Source organism: Homo sapiens, chromosome 1 (assembly GCF_000001405.40).
Source record: "Homo sapiens chromosome 1, GRCh38.p14 Primary Assembly".
In the NCBI taxonomy this organism is placed as follows: domain Eukaryota; kingdom Metazoa; phylum Chordata; class Mammalia; order Primates; family Hominidae; genus Homo; species Homo sapiens.
Window position 1 is genome coordinate 151,253,485 of NC_000001.11, and position 14,262 is coordinate 151,267,746.

Genomic DNA, 14,262 nt, shown 5'->3' on the forward strand with positions numbered 1-14,262 from the left:
GGCCTCCCAAAACGCTGGGATTATAAAACCTAAGCCATTGCATCAGGCCTTGAATGTAATTTTTGATTAACCAAAACGGTTTAGTGGTTTGTTCTTTGGCAGATTAGTTAATATAATTGAGTTGTCAAATCTTTTCCGGGCTCTGTACTGGGCTTAGGGAATTGTAAAGATTAAGACACGTTGCCGGCCAGGTGTGGTGGCTCACGCCTGTAATCCCAGCACTTTGGGAAGCTGAGGTGGGTGGATCATCTGAGGTCAGGAAATCGAGACCAGCCTGGCCAACATGGTGAAACCTCGTCTCTACTAAAAATACAAAATTAGCCGGGCATGGTGGAATGCCCCTGTAGTCCCAGCTACCTGGGAGGCTGAGGCAGGAGAATCCCTGGAACCCAGGAGGTGGAGGTTGCAGTGAGCCGAGATCGAGCCACTGCACTCTAGCCTGGGTGAAAGAGCGAGACTCCTCCGTCTCAAAAAAAAAAAAAAAAAAAAAAAAAAAAAAAAAAAAAAAGGCACGTTGCCCACCCTTAGTTAAACGAGGGAGGAGATAAATATACAAATAAATTCAATTGAAGGGTATAAGGGCTTGTTGAATTAAAATTCTACAGGGAACTGAGGGCTGTAGAAAGTCATTAGCGATCCCGACACTTTTTTTTTTCTTTTTTTGAGACGGAGTCTCACTCTGTCCCCCAGGCTGGAGTGCAGTGGCGCGATCTCGGCTCACTGCAATCTCTGCCTCCCGGGTTCAAGTAATTCTCCTGCCTCAGCCTCCCGAGTAGCGGGGATTACAGGCGTGCGCCACCATGCCCGGCTAATTTTTTGTATTTTTAGTAGAGACAGGGTTTCACCATGCTGGCCAGGCTGGTCTCGAACTCCTGACCTCGTGATCCGCCCGCCTTGGCCTCCCAAAGTGCTGGGCTAACAGGCGTGAGCCACCGCGCTCGGCCGATCCCGACACTTTTTTAAAATGCCGAAGCCGGAATCGACACAGCACTTTCAAAGGTTCCTCCATAGCTCCCCTGAGATCCGGCCAGCGGGAAACCCCAACTGAGAACTGCAATGGCAGGGAAAGTGGAGGCTAGATCCTGTTTTTTGTGTTACCGCGATTCCCTTCAACTACCCTCAAGACGCCTACAAATTTGTTTGGCGGCACCTACAACTCCCAGAACGCAACGTGGGGGACGGAGGCGGAAGCAGCTGGCCAAGCCGAGGTCTGTGATTGGTGAAGAGCGACGGGCCAATTGGAGGAGTTGTTGTTAGGCCGTCCCGGAGACCCGGTCGGGAGGGAGGAAGGTGGCAAGATGGTGTTGGAAAGCACTATGGTGTGGTGAGGAGCTACTTCGGGGCAGGAGGGGCAGAGCTGGGTTCCGGGCGCGTGTAGCGCCAAGGCAGGGAGGGCCTGGGGTGGGGGCCAGGGGCTCATGGGCGAGAGGCGGCCCTGGCCCCGGAGGTAAGGAGCCCGCTGGACTCCCTGAGTCATCCCGGGGCCCTGGAGTGGCGGATAGTCCCGGGTTACCACTGTTACCCCCAGGGGGACGGTCATTGACTGGTCATTCCTGCTTCCTTTCTCTGTTCTAGCGCCGTCTTCTCTAGAGCAGCCCGGGTCTGTCTTTAGCTACAGTTCTGCTTTTCGGACTCATCGTAATAGTTTTCTGCCCTCCTTTCTTTGCAAAATAACGTCTATTAGGAAAATAGATTATTAATCCCTTCCTCTCCCCATTCCCTCGTCTCTAACTTCATTACCTTTCCCTGTATCATCTTCAAAGGTACCATTTACAGATTGCTTTTTATGTATCAGTCATTTTGTTTATCTCACTTATACCTCACAACCACACCTTAAGGTAAATTATCTCTCCATTTTACGGTTCAGGATACCGAGTCTCAGCGATTTTAAGTGATTTGTCCAAAATCATACAGCTAGTTAAGTGGTGGAGTCAAGATTTAAACCCACGGCTGTCTGACACAAAGGCTTTATCCGGTGAGGTAGCTCTCTTTGTCAGTTTCAGGCTTGGGCTGAGTACCTATTACGAGTCACATTAGAAGAGGAGGACATAAATTTTTGCAGGGTTTCAAGAGTTCCTTCTAAGTGTAATCACTGAATGTAATACAGAATAGTTGACGAACACAAATCACCGATTGGGTGAAACAGGCACCTATGAGATTTCTTCTTTTTATTTTCTCGGGGGAGCATAGCATTGCCAGATAACATACAGGATGCCCAGTGAAATTTGAGTTTCAGATAAACGATGAATAATTTTTTTTTGAGACGGTCTCGCTCTGTCTCCCGGACTGGAGTGCAGTGGCCCAGTCTGGCTCACTGCAGCCTCCGCCTCCCTGGTTCAAGTGATTCCCAGTGATTGAACTAATTTACACTTGCACCAACGATAGAACAGTGTTCTCTTTTCTCGCAACCTTGCCAGCATCTGTTATTTTTTTAGTTTTTAGTAATAGCCATTCTGACTGGTGTTAGGTGGTATCTCGTTGTGGTTTTGATTTATTTGCATTTCTCTAATGATCAGTGATATTGAGGTTTTTTTAATAGGCTTGTTGGCTGTATGTATATCGTCTTTTGAAAAGTGTCTGGCTGGGGCGTGGCTCAGGCCTGTAATCCCAGCACTTTGGAAGGCTGAAGTGGGTGTATCACCTGAGGTCAGGAGTTACTGACCAGCCTGGCCAACATGGTGAAACCCCATCTCTACTAAAAATACAAAAATTAGCCAGGCGTGGTGGTGGACGCCTGTAGTCCCAGCTACTCCAGAGGCTGAGGTGGGAGAATCGTTTGAACCCCGGAGGTGGAGGTTGCAGTGAGCCGAGATGGCGCCACTGCACTCTAGCCTGGGCGACAGAGTGAGACTCCCTCTCAAAAAAAAAAAAATAATAATAAAATAAATAAATAAATAAATAAATAAATAAAAATAAAGTGTCTGATGTCTGTTCATGTCCTTTGCCCACTTTTTTTTTTTTTTTTCTCTTTGAGAAGGAGTTTTGCTCTTGTTGCCCAGGTTGGAGTACAGTGGCGCCATCTCAGCTCACTGCAACCTCCGCCTCCCTGGTTCAAGTGATTCTCCTGCCTCAGCCTCCTGAGTAACTGGGATTACAGGTGCCCGCCACCACGCCCAGCTTTTTTGTATTTTTGGTAGAGACGGGGTTTCATCATGTTGGCCAGGCTAGTCTCAAACTGCTGAGCTCAGGTGATCCACCCGCCTCAGCCTCCCAAAGTGCAGGGATTACAGGCGTTGAGCCACTGTGCCCGGCTCCTTTGCCCACTTTTTTTTTTTTTCGCTCTTATTGCCCAGGCTGGAGTGCAATGACACAATCTCAGCTCCCCGCAACCTTCGGCTCACCGCAACCTCCGCCTCCCGTGTTCAAGCGATTCTCCTGCCTCAGCCTCCTTAGTAGCTGGGATTACAGGCATGCGCCACCACGCCCAGCTAATTTTGTGTTTTTAGTAGAGACCAGGTTTCTCCATGTTGGTCAGGCTGGTCTCGAACTCCCACCCTCAGGTGATCCGCCCGCCTCAGCCTCCCAAAGTGCTGGCATTATAGGCGTGAGCCACTGTGCCCGGCCGGTCTTCCAGGATTTTTATAGTTTTGGGTTTTACCTTGTCTTTAATCCATCTTCAGTTAATTTTTGTGTATGGTATAAGAAAGGAGTCCAGCTTCAATCTTCTGCATATGGCTAGCCTAGCCAGTATCCCCAGTTATTGAATAGGGACTCTTTTTCCTCACTGCTTGTTTTGTCAGCTTTGTCAAAGAATAGATGGTCATAGGTGTGCGGCTTTATTTCTAGACTCTCTATTCTGTCCCATTGGTCTCTGTGCCTGTTTTTGTACCAGTGCCATGCGGTTTTGGTTATTGTAGCCCTAAGTAATAGTTTGAAGTTGGGTAAAGTTGCCTCCAGCTTTGTTCTTTTAGCTTAGGATTGCCTTGGCTTTTCTGGCTCTTTGTTGGTTCCATATGAATTTTCAAATAGTTTTTTCTAGTTCTTTGAAGAATGTTTTTGGTAGTTTGATAGGAGTAGCATTGAATCTGTAAATTGCTGTGGGAAGAATGGCCAATTTTAATTAATTAATTAATTAATTTATGAGACAGAGTCTTGCTCTGTCTCCCAGGCTGGAGTGCAGTGGTGTGATCTCGGCTCATTGCAACCTCCGCCTCTCAGGTTCAAGTGATTATTGTGCCTCAGCCTTCTGAGTAGCTGGGATTCCAGGCACCCGCCACCATACCTGGCTTTCTTTTTTTTTTTTTTTTTTTTTTGTATTTTTAGTAAAGATGGGGTTTGGCCATGTGGCCAGGCTGGTCTTGAACTCCTGGCCTCAAGTGATCTGCCCACCTCAGCCTCCCAAAGTGCTGGAATTACAGGTGTGAGCCACCATGCTCGGCAGTATGGCCATTTTAATGATATTGATTCTTCCTATTCATGAGCATGAGATGTTTTTCCACTTGTTTATATCTTCTTTGATTTATTTGAGCGGTATTTTGTAATTCTCATTGTAGAGCTCTTTCATCTCCCTGGTTAGTTGTATTCCTAGGTTTGTTTGTCTATTTGTTTGTTTTTTTGAGATGGAGTCTCGCTTTTGTTGCCCAGGCTGGAGTGCAGTGGCGCCATCTCGGCTCACTGCAACCTCCACCTCCCGGGTTCAAATGATTCTCCTGTCTCAGCCTCCCGAGTAGCTGGGATTACAGGTGCGTGCCACCATGCCCGGGTAATTTTTTTCTGTATTTTTAGTAGAGATGAGGTTTCATCATATTGGTCAGGCTGGTCTCGAACACTTGACCTCAGGTGATCCACCAGCCTCAGCCTCCCAAAGTGCTGAGATTACAGGCATGAGCCACAACACCCAGCCAAGGTATTTTATTCTTTTTGTGGCAGTATGCACATAGTTCTTGGCCCCATGTAGTGCATCATGGGGAACCTGCTGTTGATGTGACTGCCTTGCACATGTGCCATTGTATTACCCTTTTCGAGTGTTTTTTTTTTTTTTTTTTTTTTTGGGGGAGACAGGGTCTCATTCTGTCACCCAGGCTGGAGTGCAGTAGTGTGATCTTGGCTCACTGCAGCCTCGACCTCCGGGGCTCAAGTGATCCTCCTGCCTCAGCCTCCTGAATAGCTGGGACTACAGGCACTTACCACCATGCCCAGCTATTTTTTGTATTTTTTGTAGAGATGGGGTTTTGTCATATTGATTAGGCTGGTCTCGAACTCTTGGGCTCAAGAGAGCCTCCCTCCTTGGACTCCCTAAGTGCTGGGATTACAGGCATGAACCATCACACCCAGCCTGTATTCTCTTTTAAAATAAAGGTTTTGGCGGTAATCCCAGCTACTTAGGAGGCTGAGGCAGGAGAAGGGGTTAAGCCCAGGAGTTTGAGGTTACAGTGAGCTATGATTTCACCACTGGCCTCCAGCCTGGGTGACAGAGCAAGATCCTGTCTCAAAAAAATATGTGAAATGGCCAGGTGCGGTGGCTTACACCTGTAATCCCAGCACTTTGAGAGGTTGAGGTGGGCGGATCATCAGAGGTCAGGAGCTCAAGACCAACCTGGCCAACATAGTGAAACCCCGTCTCTACTAAAAATACAAAAATTAGCTGGCATGGTGGTGCACGCCTGTGGTCCCAGCTACCCGGGAAGCTGAAGTGGGAAGATCTATTGAGCCTGGGAGGTTGAGGCTACAGTGAGCTGTGACTGCGCTTGAACCTGTGCCTGCGCTTGAACCTGTGCCTGAATACTACCCTAGACAGGTTGAGTATTCCCTATCTGAAATGGCTAGGACCATAAGTGTTTCAGATTTTGGATTTTTGTCAGATTTTAGAATATGTACATTATACTTAACCAGCGGAGTATCCCTAATCTGGAAGTCTGAAGTGCTCCAGTGATAATTTCCTTTGAACATCATGTCAGCACTCAAAACTCAAAAACTTTCTGATTTGGGGCATTTCGGATCTCAAGAGTTTCTGATTAAGTGTACTTAACCTATATATTCCCTTTTCTGTTAATACTTGTTTTCCAGTACCTTCTTAATTACTTCTCTTTACCATTTTTGGTTTATTGCCAAACAAAGCATACTAAAGAAAAAAAAATTGCCCCAGGCTCACATTTTGCTTGCCAATAGAAATGAGATGTCTTGGCTAGGTGCCGTGGCTCACACCTGTAATCCCAGCACTTTGAGAGGCCAAGGCAGGAGGACTACATGAGTCTAGGAGTTTGTGACTAGCCTGGGCAACAAAGTGAGACTCCATCTCTATAAAATAAAAAATAAATAAAAAATGTGGTTTTTTTTGGTAGAGACTGGGTCTTCCTGTGTTGCCCAGGCTGTTCTCCAACTCCTGGGCTCAAGCGATTCTCCCTTCTCGGCCTCCCAAAGTGCTGGGATTACAGACGTGAGCCACCATGCCCAGCCTAAAAAATAGATAAAATTCTAAAAAGAAGAAATGAGGGCCAAGTGTGGTGGCTCATGCCTGTAATCCCAGCACTTTGGTAGATTGAGGTGGGTGGATCACCTGAGGTTGGGAGTTTGAGACCAACCTGACCAACATGGAGGAACCCCGTCTCTACTAAAAATACAAAATTAGCCGGGTATGGTGGTTGCATGCCTGTTATCCCAGCTACTTAGGAGGCTGAGGGAGGAGAATTGCTTGAACCTGGTAGGCGGAGGTTGCGGTGAGCCGAGATCGAGCCATTGCACTCCAGCCTGGGCAACAAGAGCGAAACTCTGTCTCAAAAAAAAAAAAAAGAAAGAAATGAGGTATCTCATCTAAGGCACTGCTTCCGTCCATTAGCACAGGTAGAACCTTAACTATTAGAGCTCTCAGGGACCTCAGAGGTCATCAAGAATTGATCCTTACAGGAGCTTATATAACTGCATCACTTACCTGCCTTCTTCTGGTCTTTGGGAAACTCGAGATTATATTTCACATTAGCTGGATACTTTTAGATCATGAAAAGTTGCAGGGATCTAAGAGGTGAGACTTCAGATCCACAAAACCTCATTTTTACCGTTCAGTTCAGCTGTCAAAGCTGTTAAGCATTTAATGAGATGATTGCATTGTACTTTTCTGCACTCAGTGCTGCCAAGTGTGTGTTATTTTATAGACCTCTTTTTTTTGAGGCAGTGGCACGATCTTGGCTCAATGCAGCCTCCACCTCTCAGGTTCAGGTGATTCTCCTGCCTCAGCCACCCGAATAGCTGGGATTACAGGTGCCTGCCACCACGCCCGGCTAACTTTTATATTTTTTAGTAGAGATAGGGTTTCACCATGTTTGCCAGGCTGGTCTCAAACTCCTGAGCTCAAGAGATCTGCCCACCTCGGCCCCCCAAAGTGCTGGGATTACAGTTGTGAGCCACCATGCCTGGCCCTATTTTATAGATTTTTTTTTTTTTTTTTGATGGAGTCTCACTCTGTCACCCAGGCTGGAGTGCAGTGGCGTGATCTTGACTCACTGCAACCTCGGCCTCCCGGGTTCAAGCAATTCTCCTGCCTCAACCTCCTGAGTAGCTAGGACTACAAGTGTGCGCCACCATACCTGGCTAATTATTGTATTTTTAGTAGAGACGGGGTTTCACAATGTTAGCCAACACTGGTCTCTAACTCCTGACTTCAGGTGATACACCCGCCTCCACCTCCCAAAGTGCTGGGATGCACTTGGGAGGCATAAGTCACTGTGCCCAGCCTATTTTATAGATTTTTTTTTTCTTTTTCTTTTTTTTTTTTTTTTTTTGAGACGAAGTTTTGCTCTTGTTGCCCAGGCTGGAGTACAATGGTGTGATCACCACAACCTCCGTCTCCTGGGTTCAGGCGATTCTTCTGCCTCAGCCTCCCGAGTAGCTGGGATTACAGGCATGTGCCACCACGCCCAGCTAATTTTCTACTTTTAGTAGAGACAGGGTTTCTCCATGTTGGTCAGGCTGGTCTTGAACTCCTGACCTCAGGTGATCCACCTGCCTCGGCCTCCCAAAGTGCTGGGATTACAGACATGAGCCACCGCGCCCAGCTATAGATATTTTTAAGTTACCTTCTTCATTTCCTATATTTGGATTACTGCCATTTAATGGCAGACTTAGAGTATTTATCCATGACAAAGCTTAGTAGCACTTAAGTGCAGCTTGTAAGAAATTGCTGTGGTTCATCAGTAGATCACCACCTTTGGTGCTCATCAGAATCATTTTGTAAGGATTTAAAAATTTTTTCGGCTGGGCACCAGGTGGCTCACACCTGTTATCCCAGCACTTGGGGAGGTGGAGGCAGGAGGATCTCTTGAGCTCAGAAGTTCAAGACCAGCTTGGGCAACATAGCTAGATCCCTGTCTCTACAAAAAAAATTTAAAAGGTAGCTGCGTGGTGGCTTGCACCTATAGTCCCAGCTACTTGGGAGGCTGAGGTGAGAGGATCACTTGAGCCCAGGAGGTGGAAGCTGCAGTGAGCCATTAGTGCACCACTCTACTCCAGCCTGAGTGACAGAGCAAGACCCTATCTCAAAAAAAAAAAAAAAAAAATTCCTCATTGGTTATTCTGAGTCAATAAATGTGGGCTAAGGCTTGATCATCTGTATATTTAAAAAAGAAAAAAAGCTACAGGTGATGCTATGAAGACTGCTGCTATAGGGGGCCTCTGGAACTGGAGAGAAGGTTTTGGAAAACTTCTACATTTCTTCTCTCTTGTCCTTCAACCCTAATCTGACAGTGTGGACAACAGTGAGTATATGCGGAATGGAGACTTCTTACCCACCAGGCTGCAGGCCCAGCAGGATGCTGTCAACATAGTTTGTCATTCAAAGACCCGCAGCAACCCTGAGAACAACGTGGGCCTTATCACACTGGCTAAGTATGGGGGACAGAGGAGGAGGGGACTCAGTAGGTGGGTGGTTGTTACATGCTACTCTTCTTTAGATTCCATGAAGCTGCTTTTGCCCATCACCTTCCTAGACTGCCTTCTGCACTATTTAGTGTAAATGTCAATAGCAACTTGTTTTTTGTATTAACCTGTATTTAATGTAGTACGGAAGCTAAATCTCCTGGGGTGAAATTTCTGTTTCTTTTTATTGTTTGTTGGGCAGGGCTAGGGTAGGGGGTGAAATTTCATAATATATTTTAAAGTCAGTGAAAAGTGATTTTGGGCTGGGCACAGTGGCTCATGTCTGTAATCCCAAGAGTTTGAGACCAGCCTGGGCAACAGGACAAAACCCTGTCTCTACTAAAAATACAAAAATTAGCCAGGCATGGTGGTGGCTACCTGTAATACCAGCTACTCAGGAGGCTGAGGCAGGAGAATCGCTTGAACTCGGGAGGCGGAGGTTGCAGTGAGCCAAGATCACACCACTGCACACCAGCTTGGGCGACAGAATGAGACTCCATTTCAAAAAAAAAGAAAAAAGTAATTTTTGGATCAGAGCCCCTGGGCATATATCACTCATCCTTTTACCCTGAAAGTGTTTTGTTTTAGGAACTGATAATTCTTAAATGAGTAGCCTCCCACTCCAGTGTACATACTGTTAGCTAGGAGAATGGGTCTGGAGGTGGAGAGGACAGGAGAGATACAAATTAGCATCGTTATTTTGGTGGATTCTCAGGGCCCTGTGAGCCTTTAAAAGGAGTTAGGGGAAAATATTTGGAAGTAGAGGGCAGCTTTCTTACAAAGCCAGCCACTTAATTATTTCTGTGCTTGGTTTCCATTAAATACTAGATGTTTGATTGAGAAGAATAGAGGCCAAGCACAGTGGCTCACGCCTGTAATCCCTGCATTCTGGGAGGCCAAGGCAGACGGATCACTTGAGGTCAGGATTTCGAGACCAGCCTGACCAACATGGCAAAACCCCGTCTCTACTAAAAATACAAAAATTAGCCGGGCGTGGTGGTGTAGATCTGTAATCCCAGCTACTCAGGAGGCTGATGCACGAGAATTACTTGAACCCGGGAGGCGGAGGTTGCAGTGAGCTGAGATTCGCCACTGCACGCCAGCCTGGGTGACAGAGCGAGACTCTGTCTCAAAAAATAAAAAAGAAGAATAGAGATTACAATTAGAATAGAAATAATGGTTATTATCCAGGTCTTTAAAGAAAAGTCAGACACAGGCCAGGTGCGGTGGCTCACGCCTGTAATCCCAGCACTTTGGAAGGCCAAGGTGGGCGGATTACGAGGTCAGGAGATCGAGACCATCCTGGCTAACACAGTGAAACCCCGTCTCTACTAAAAAAAATACAAAAAATTAGCCAGGCGTGGTAGTGGGTGCCCGTAGTCCCAGCTACTTGGGAGTCTGAGGCAGGAGAATGGCGTGAACCCGGGAGGCGGAGCTTGCAGTGACCCGAGATCACGCCACGCACTCCAGCCTGGGTGACAGAGTGAGACTCCGTCTAAAAAATAAATAAATAAAAGTTAGACACAGTTTAGAGGTACTTGTGCTGACCTGAATTCACTGAAATGCTTTTCCTACATCCCAGTGACTGTGAAGTGCTGACCACACTCACCCCAGACACTGGCCGTATCCTGTCCAAGCTACATACTGTCCAACCCAAGGGCAAGATCACCTTCTGCACGGGCATCCGCGTGGCCCATGTGAGTCCTACTGGGTTCCCTGGACCTTTCCTCCCTGCTCTGAGGTCCTGCCTCCATCATACTCATTTCTCCCCTGGAATCCTGAGCTAGGACCAGAGCAAGAGAAAGCTAACTTGGAGTAGAAAGGATATGGGGGATGAATCCCAGGGTAGTTGAGGGTTGTGAAGGGAAAAATCCCTAGAATTGAGAATTAAGGCTGGGCGTGGTAGTTCATGCCTGTAATCCCATCACTTTGGGAGGCCAGGGGAGGAGGATTGCTGAAGGCTAGCAGTTCAAGACCAGCCTGGGCACATAGGGAGACCCTGTTTCTCTAAAAAAAAAAAAAAAAAGGCCGGGCGCGGTGGCTCACACCTGTAATCCCAGCACTTTGGGAGGCTAACACGGGCAGATCACCTGACGTCACGAGTTCGAGACCAATCTGGCCAACGTGGTGAAACCCCATCTCTACTGAAAATATAAAAATTAGCCAGTACTAGGAAGGCTGAGGCAGGATAATCGCTGGAACCCGGGAGGTGGAGGTTGCAGTGAACTGAGATCACGCCACTGCACTCCAGACTGGGCGACAGAGCGAGACTCCATCTCAAAAAAAAAAAAAGAGAGAAAGAGAATTAACCTCCCTTCTTTATGCACAGAGAGTCATAGCAAAAAGGGAGGAGGTGGGGGTGTTAAATCTTGTGTGAACGTGATGGTAGATGGTGTACTTCAGGTACAAAGAAACTGTAAGAAAAAGGGAACCGAGTGACAGAGGAAAGAGCTGAGTGATTCCTCTGGTTAACTCTGAGAACTTCCTCTCCCTTTACAAGCTGGCTCTGAAGCACCGACAAGGCAAGAATCACAAGATGCGCATCATTGCCTTTGTGGGAAGCCCAGTGGAGGACAATGAGAAGGATGTGAGTCCAAGTGGCAGCTGGGGAATGTGGGGAGCCCATGTTTGGGACTGAGGTCTTCCAGCCCTCAGGAGAACCTGGCAGAGGCATCAGGCTCATCACTTTGGGGAAAGGTGAATGTGGAGAATTCAGTGATTCTGTTGGAGGACCTTGGGGAGGTCAATAGATTTCTGTATGCTTTTATGCGGCGGGTCCTTTCCCCCCCTCGAGTATGGAACAGATTTCTTGATTTTTCTCCCCTTCTTCCCAGCTGGTGAAACTGGCTAAACGCCTCAAGAAGGAGAAAGTAAATGTTGACATTATCAATTTTGGGGAAGAGGTGAGTAGGGACTGATTGGAGGGCATTGACTTAATTTGGTCATAAACAGAATGGTCCTTAACCCTGAGGAGTGCGGGTACTGTGGCAGAGTAGTGCAGAAATGGGAAAGAACAGGGAGCAAGGCCTGAAGAAGGGCATCATGTGTTCTTTCCTCCCCAGGAGGTGAACACAGAAAAGCTGACAGCCTTTGTAAACACGTTGAATGGCAAAGATGGAACCGGTTCTCATCTGGTGACAGTGCCTCCTGGGCCCAGTTTGGCTGATGCTCTCATCAGTTCTCCGATTTTGGCTGGTGAAGGTGGTGCCATGCTGGGTCTTGGTGCCAGTGACTTTGAATTTGGAGTAGATCCCAGTGCTGATCCTGAGCTGGCCTTGGTGAGCAAATGTTGACCCCAGGTAGAGTCCAAAGGTCCCTCTTTGTTCTCTTCTGGCACACACATCACAGAGCTTCTATCAGGCTGGATAGTCCTAGACACTACCAATCACTCATTTTCCAAGACCTCCTTTTGCCGCCTCTTCCCTATAATGCTGTCTGATCTCTAGGGGCACCAGTGTCAGATGCTTTCTTGTTCACTTCTGATGAAAACCGAGGCTTCTCCCAAGTCCTTACTTTTTAATCCCGTACCACTGCTTATCCCTCCAGCTTCTTCTCTGTGTGATAAACCAGAAGCTGCCCCTTTATGTTCCTTTCCCACACCCCAACTGACTTTCCCAGCTCCCTGTAGGAGTGAGGGCAGGGGAGCCCTGATTATGCCCTGCCCTTCACCAGGCCCTTCGTGTATCTATGGAAGAGCAGCGGCAGCGGCAGGAGGAGGAGGCCCGGCGGGCAGCTGCAGCTTCTGCTGCTGAGGCCGGGATTGCTACGACTGGGACTGAAGGTGAAAGAGGTGGAATCCGAAGTCCTGGGACTGCGGGATGCTAAACATTGAAAGCTGGGTGTAGGCACTGCAGGGAGAGTGTGGAGGTCTGACAGGGTAGGAATATGTGGGAGGGCTGGGCTAGGAATGGCCTTGGAGGCTGGCCTGTGTGGATATGGCACCAATTCTACCCTGCTCCTCTTTTCCTTTTCCCAGACTCAGACGATGCCCTGCTGAAGATGACCATCAGCCAGCAAGAGTTTGGCCGCACTGGGCTTCCTGACCTAAGCAGTATGACTGAGGAAGAGCAGATTGCTTATGCCATGCAGATGTCCCTGCAGGGAGCAGGTGAGCCAGAGCCTGGGTGGTGCCTAGGCAGAGGTTGGGGTGAGGAAGTGTAACTGAACAGACTGACCTCTCTTCCTCAGAGTTTGGCCAGGCGGAATCAGCAGACATTGATGCCAGCTCAGCTATGGACACATCTGAGCCAGCCAAGGTGAGACCCAACCCTGCCCCCATCAGGTTTAAAGTCCTTGAATTTAGATCCTCATCCCTCTGGGGCTGGGAGTATTTCTACCATAGCTAAGTCCTTTGAGGAGCAGAGGGAAACACATGGATTTGCATTTCTTACATGTAAACCTTGCTAAGGTAGCAATGCTAATGGTCAGAGTTGGAGAAATGTCCTCTTGTTCTGTAATTTTCCTTTCTTGCTGGTGGGAGCAGCCTGGGCAGTTCTCTAGGATGTCTTCCCAGGAGGGAAAAAAGCGGGTCTGGGAAAAAGAAAAAGGAGAACTGGGTGTCTTGAGAGCAGGAAACCTCAATGTGATGGCATCTGTTTTTCTCCTCAGAGCTCAATTAACAGAGTTCTCAGCAGGCCCCTCTATTTGGTTAGTAATAACTGCATTCATGCTGTATAAAGGATTTTGCTGACTTGTCCTTTCCTTACGTCGACCAGAGGTGCCCAGATCCCCACACAGTCAGAAGGCAGGGGGCCTCTGGCAGCGGCATGCTCCTGTCCTTAACACCTGCTTACTTCCTGCCGCTCCATACCCTCCCTTGAGCTCACACTGCCTGTTTGCAGGAGGAGGATGATTACGACGTGATGCAGGACCCCGAGTTCCTTCAGAGTGTCCTAGAGAACCTCCCAGGTGTGGATCCCAACAATGAAGCCATTCGAAATGCTATGGGCTCCCTGGCCTCCCAGGCCACCAAGGACGGCAAGAAGGACAAGAAGGAGGAAGACAAGAAGTGAGACTGGAGGGAAAGGGTAGCTGAGTCTGCTTAGGGGACTGCATGGGAAGCACGGAATATAGGGTTAGATGTGTGTTATCTGTAACCATTACAGCCTAAATAAAGCTTGGCAACTTTTTTTCCTTTTTTGCTTCAAATATTGATGGTTTTGAGTGTGAGAGAGGGGAGGAGTCCCTGGCCTGAAGGAGAACCTTCCTTGTTGAGTTCTCTATGTCTCTGTTTCCACCTGTCTGGGCCTCCTAACGTGCTGGGATTACAGGCCCAGGAGCCAGGTTTCCATTTCTAATGAACGAAGACCTTATTTAAACCACCTTCTTGCCAATAACTTTTACTCTGCACTCACACAGCTGAACCCCAAGCATGGAATGATACTCAACCTTTTCAGTTTTTTCATGTGGACTTCT

General features: G+C 47.8%; 1 protein-coding gene across 2 annotated transcripts, besides 4 other annotated features; it reads left to right on the forward strand.

Moving 5' to 3' along the window:
- Positions 1,142 to 1,331: an enhancer, noted in NCBI's record as "active region_1714". NCBI's record gives its function as "activates an Ori minimal core promoter by ATAC-STARR-seq in GM12878 lymphoblastoid cells {active_cell/tissue: GM12878}" and the evidence as "EXISTENCE:reporter gene assay evidence [ECO:0000049][PMID:35858748]".
- On the forward strand, positions 1,250 to 13,995 carry PSMD4 (proteasome 26S subunit ubiquitin receptor, non-ATPase 4). Of its 2 annotated transcripts, none has more exons than NM_002810.4 (10): positions 1,250 to 1,324; positions 8,677 to 8,817; positions 10,430 to 10,544; positions 11,348 to 11,434; positions 11,682 to 11,750; positions 11,910 to 12,125; positions 12,520 to 12,628; positions 12,824 to 12,955; positions 13,036 to 13,103; positions 13,689 to 13,995. In NM_002810.4, exons 1-10 carry the CDS (start codon positions 1,299 to 1,301, stop codon positions 13,857 to 13,859), a joined length of 1,134 nt encoding a protein of 377 aa, NP_002801.1. In that variant the 5' UTR covers positions 1,250 to 1,298; the 3' UTR covers positions 13,860 to 13,995. The 2 variants fall into 2 exon arrangements, with proteins under 2 accessions (NP_002801.1, NP_001317621.1); NM_001330692.2 differs by having other exon boundaries at positions 12,520 to 12,637; positions 13,689 to 13,976.
- Positions 1,372 to 1,511: a silencer, noted in NCBI's record as "silent region_1316". NCBI's record gives its function as "represses an Ori minimal core promoter by ATAC-STARR-seq in GM12878 lymphoblastoid cells {active_cell/tissue: GM12878}" and the evidence as "EXISTENCE:reporter gene assay evidence [ECO:0000049][PMID:35858748]".
- Positions 12,049 to 12,343: a silencer, noted in NCBI's record as "tiled region #10214; K562 Repressive non-DNase unmatched - State 17:Gen3'". NCBI's record gives its function as "represses a minimal TATA promoter and a strong SV40 promoter by Sharpr-MPRA in K562 cells {active_cell/tissue: K562}" and the evidence as "EXISTENCE:reporter gene assay evidence [ECO:0000049][PMID:27701403]".
- Positions 12,049 to 12,343: an enhancer, noted in NCBI's record as "tiled region #10214; HepG2 Activating DNase matched - State 5:Enh". NCBI's record gives its function as "activates a minimal TATA promoter and a strong SV40 promoter by Sharpr-MPRA in HepG2 cells {active_cell/tissue: HepG2}" and the evidence as "EXISTENCE:reporter gene assay evidence [ECO:0000049][PMID:27701403]".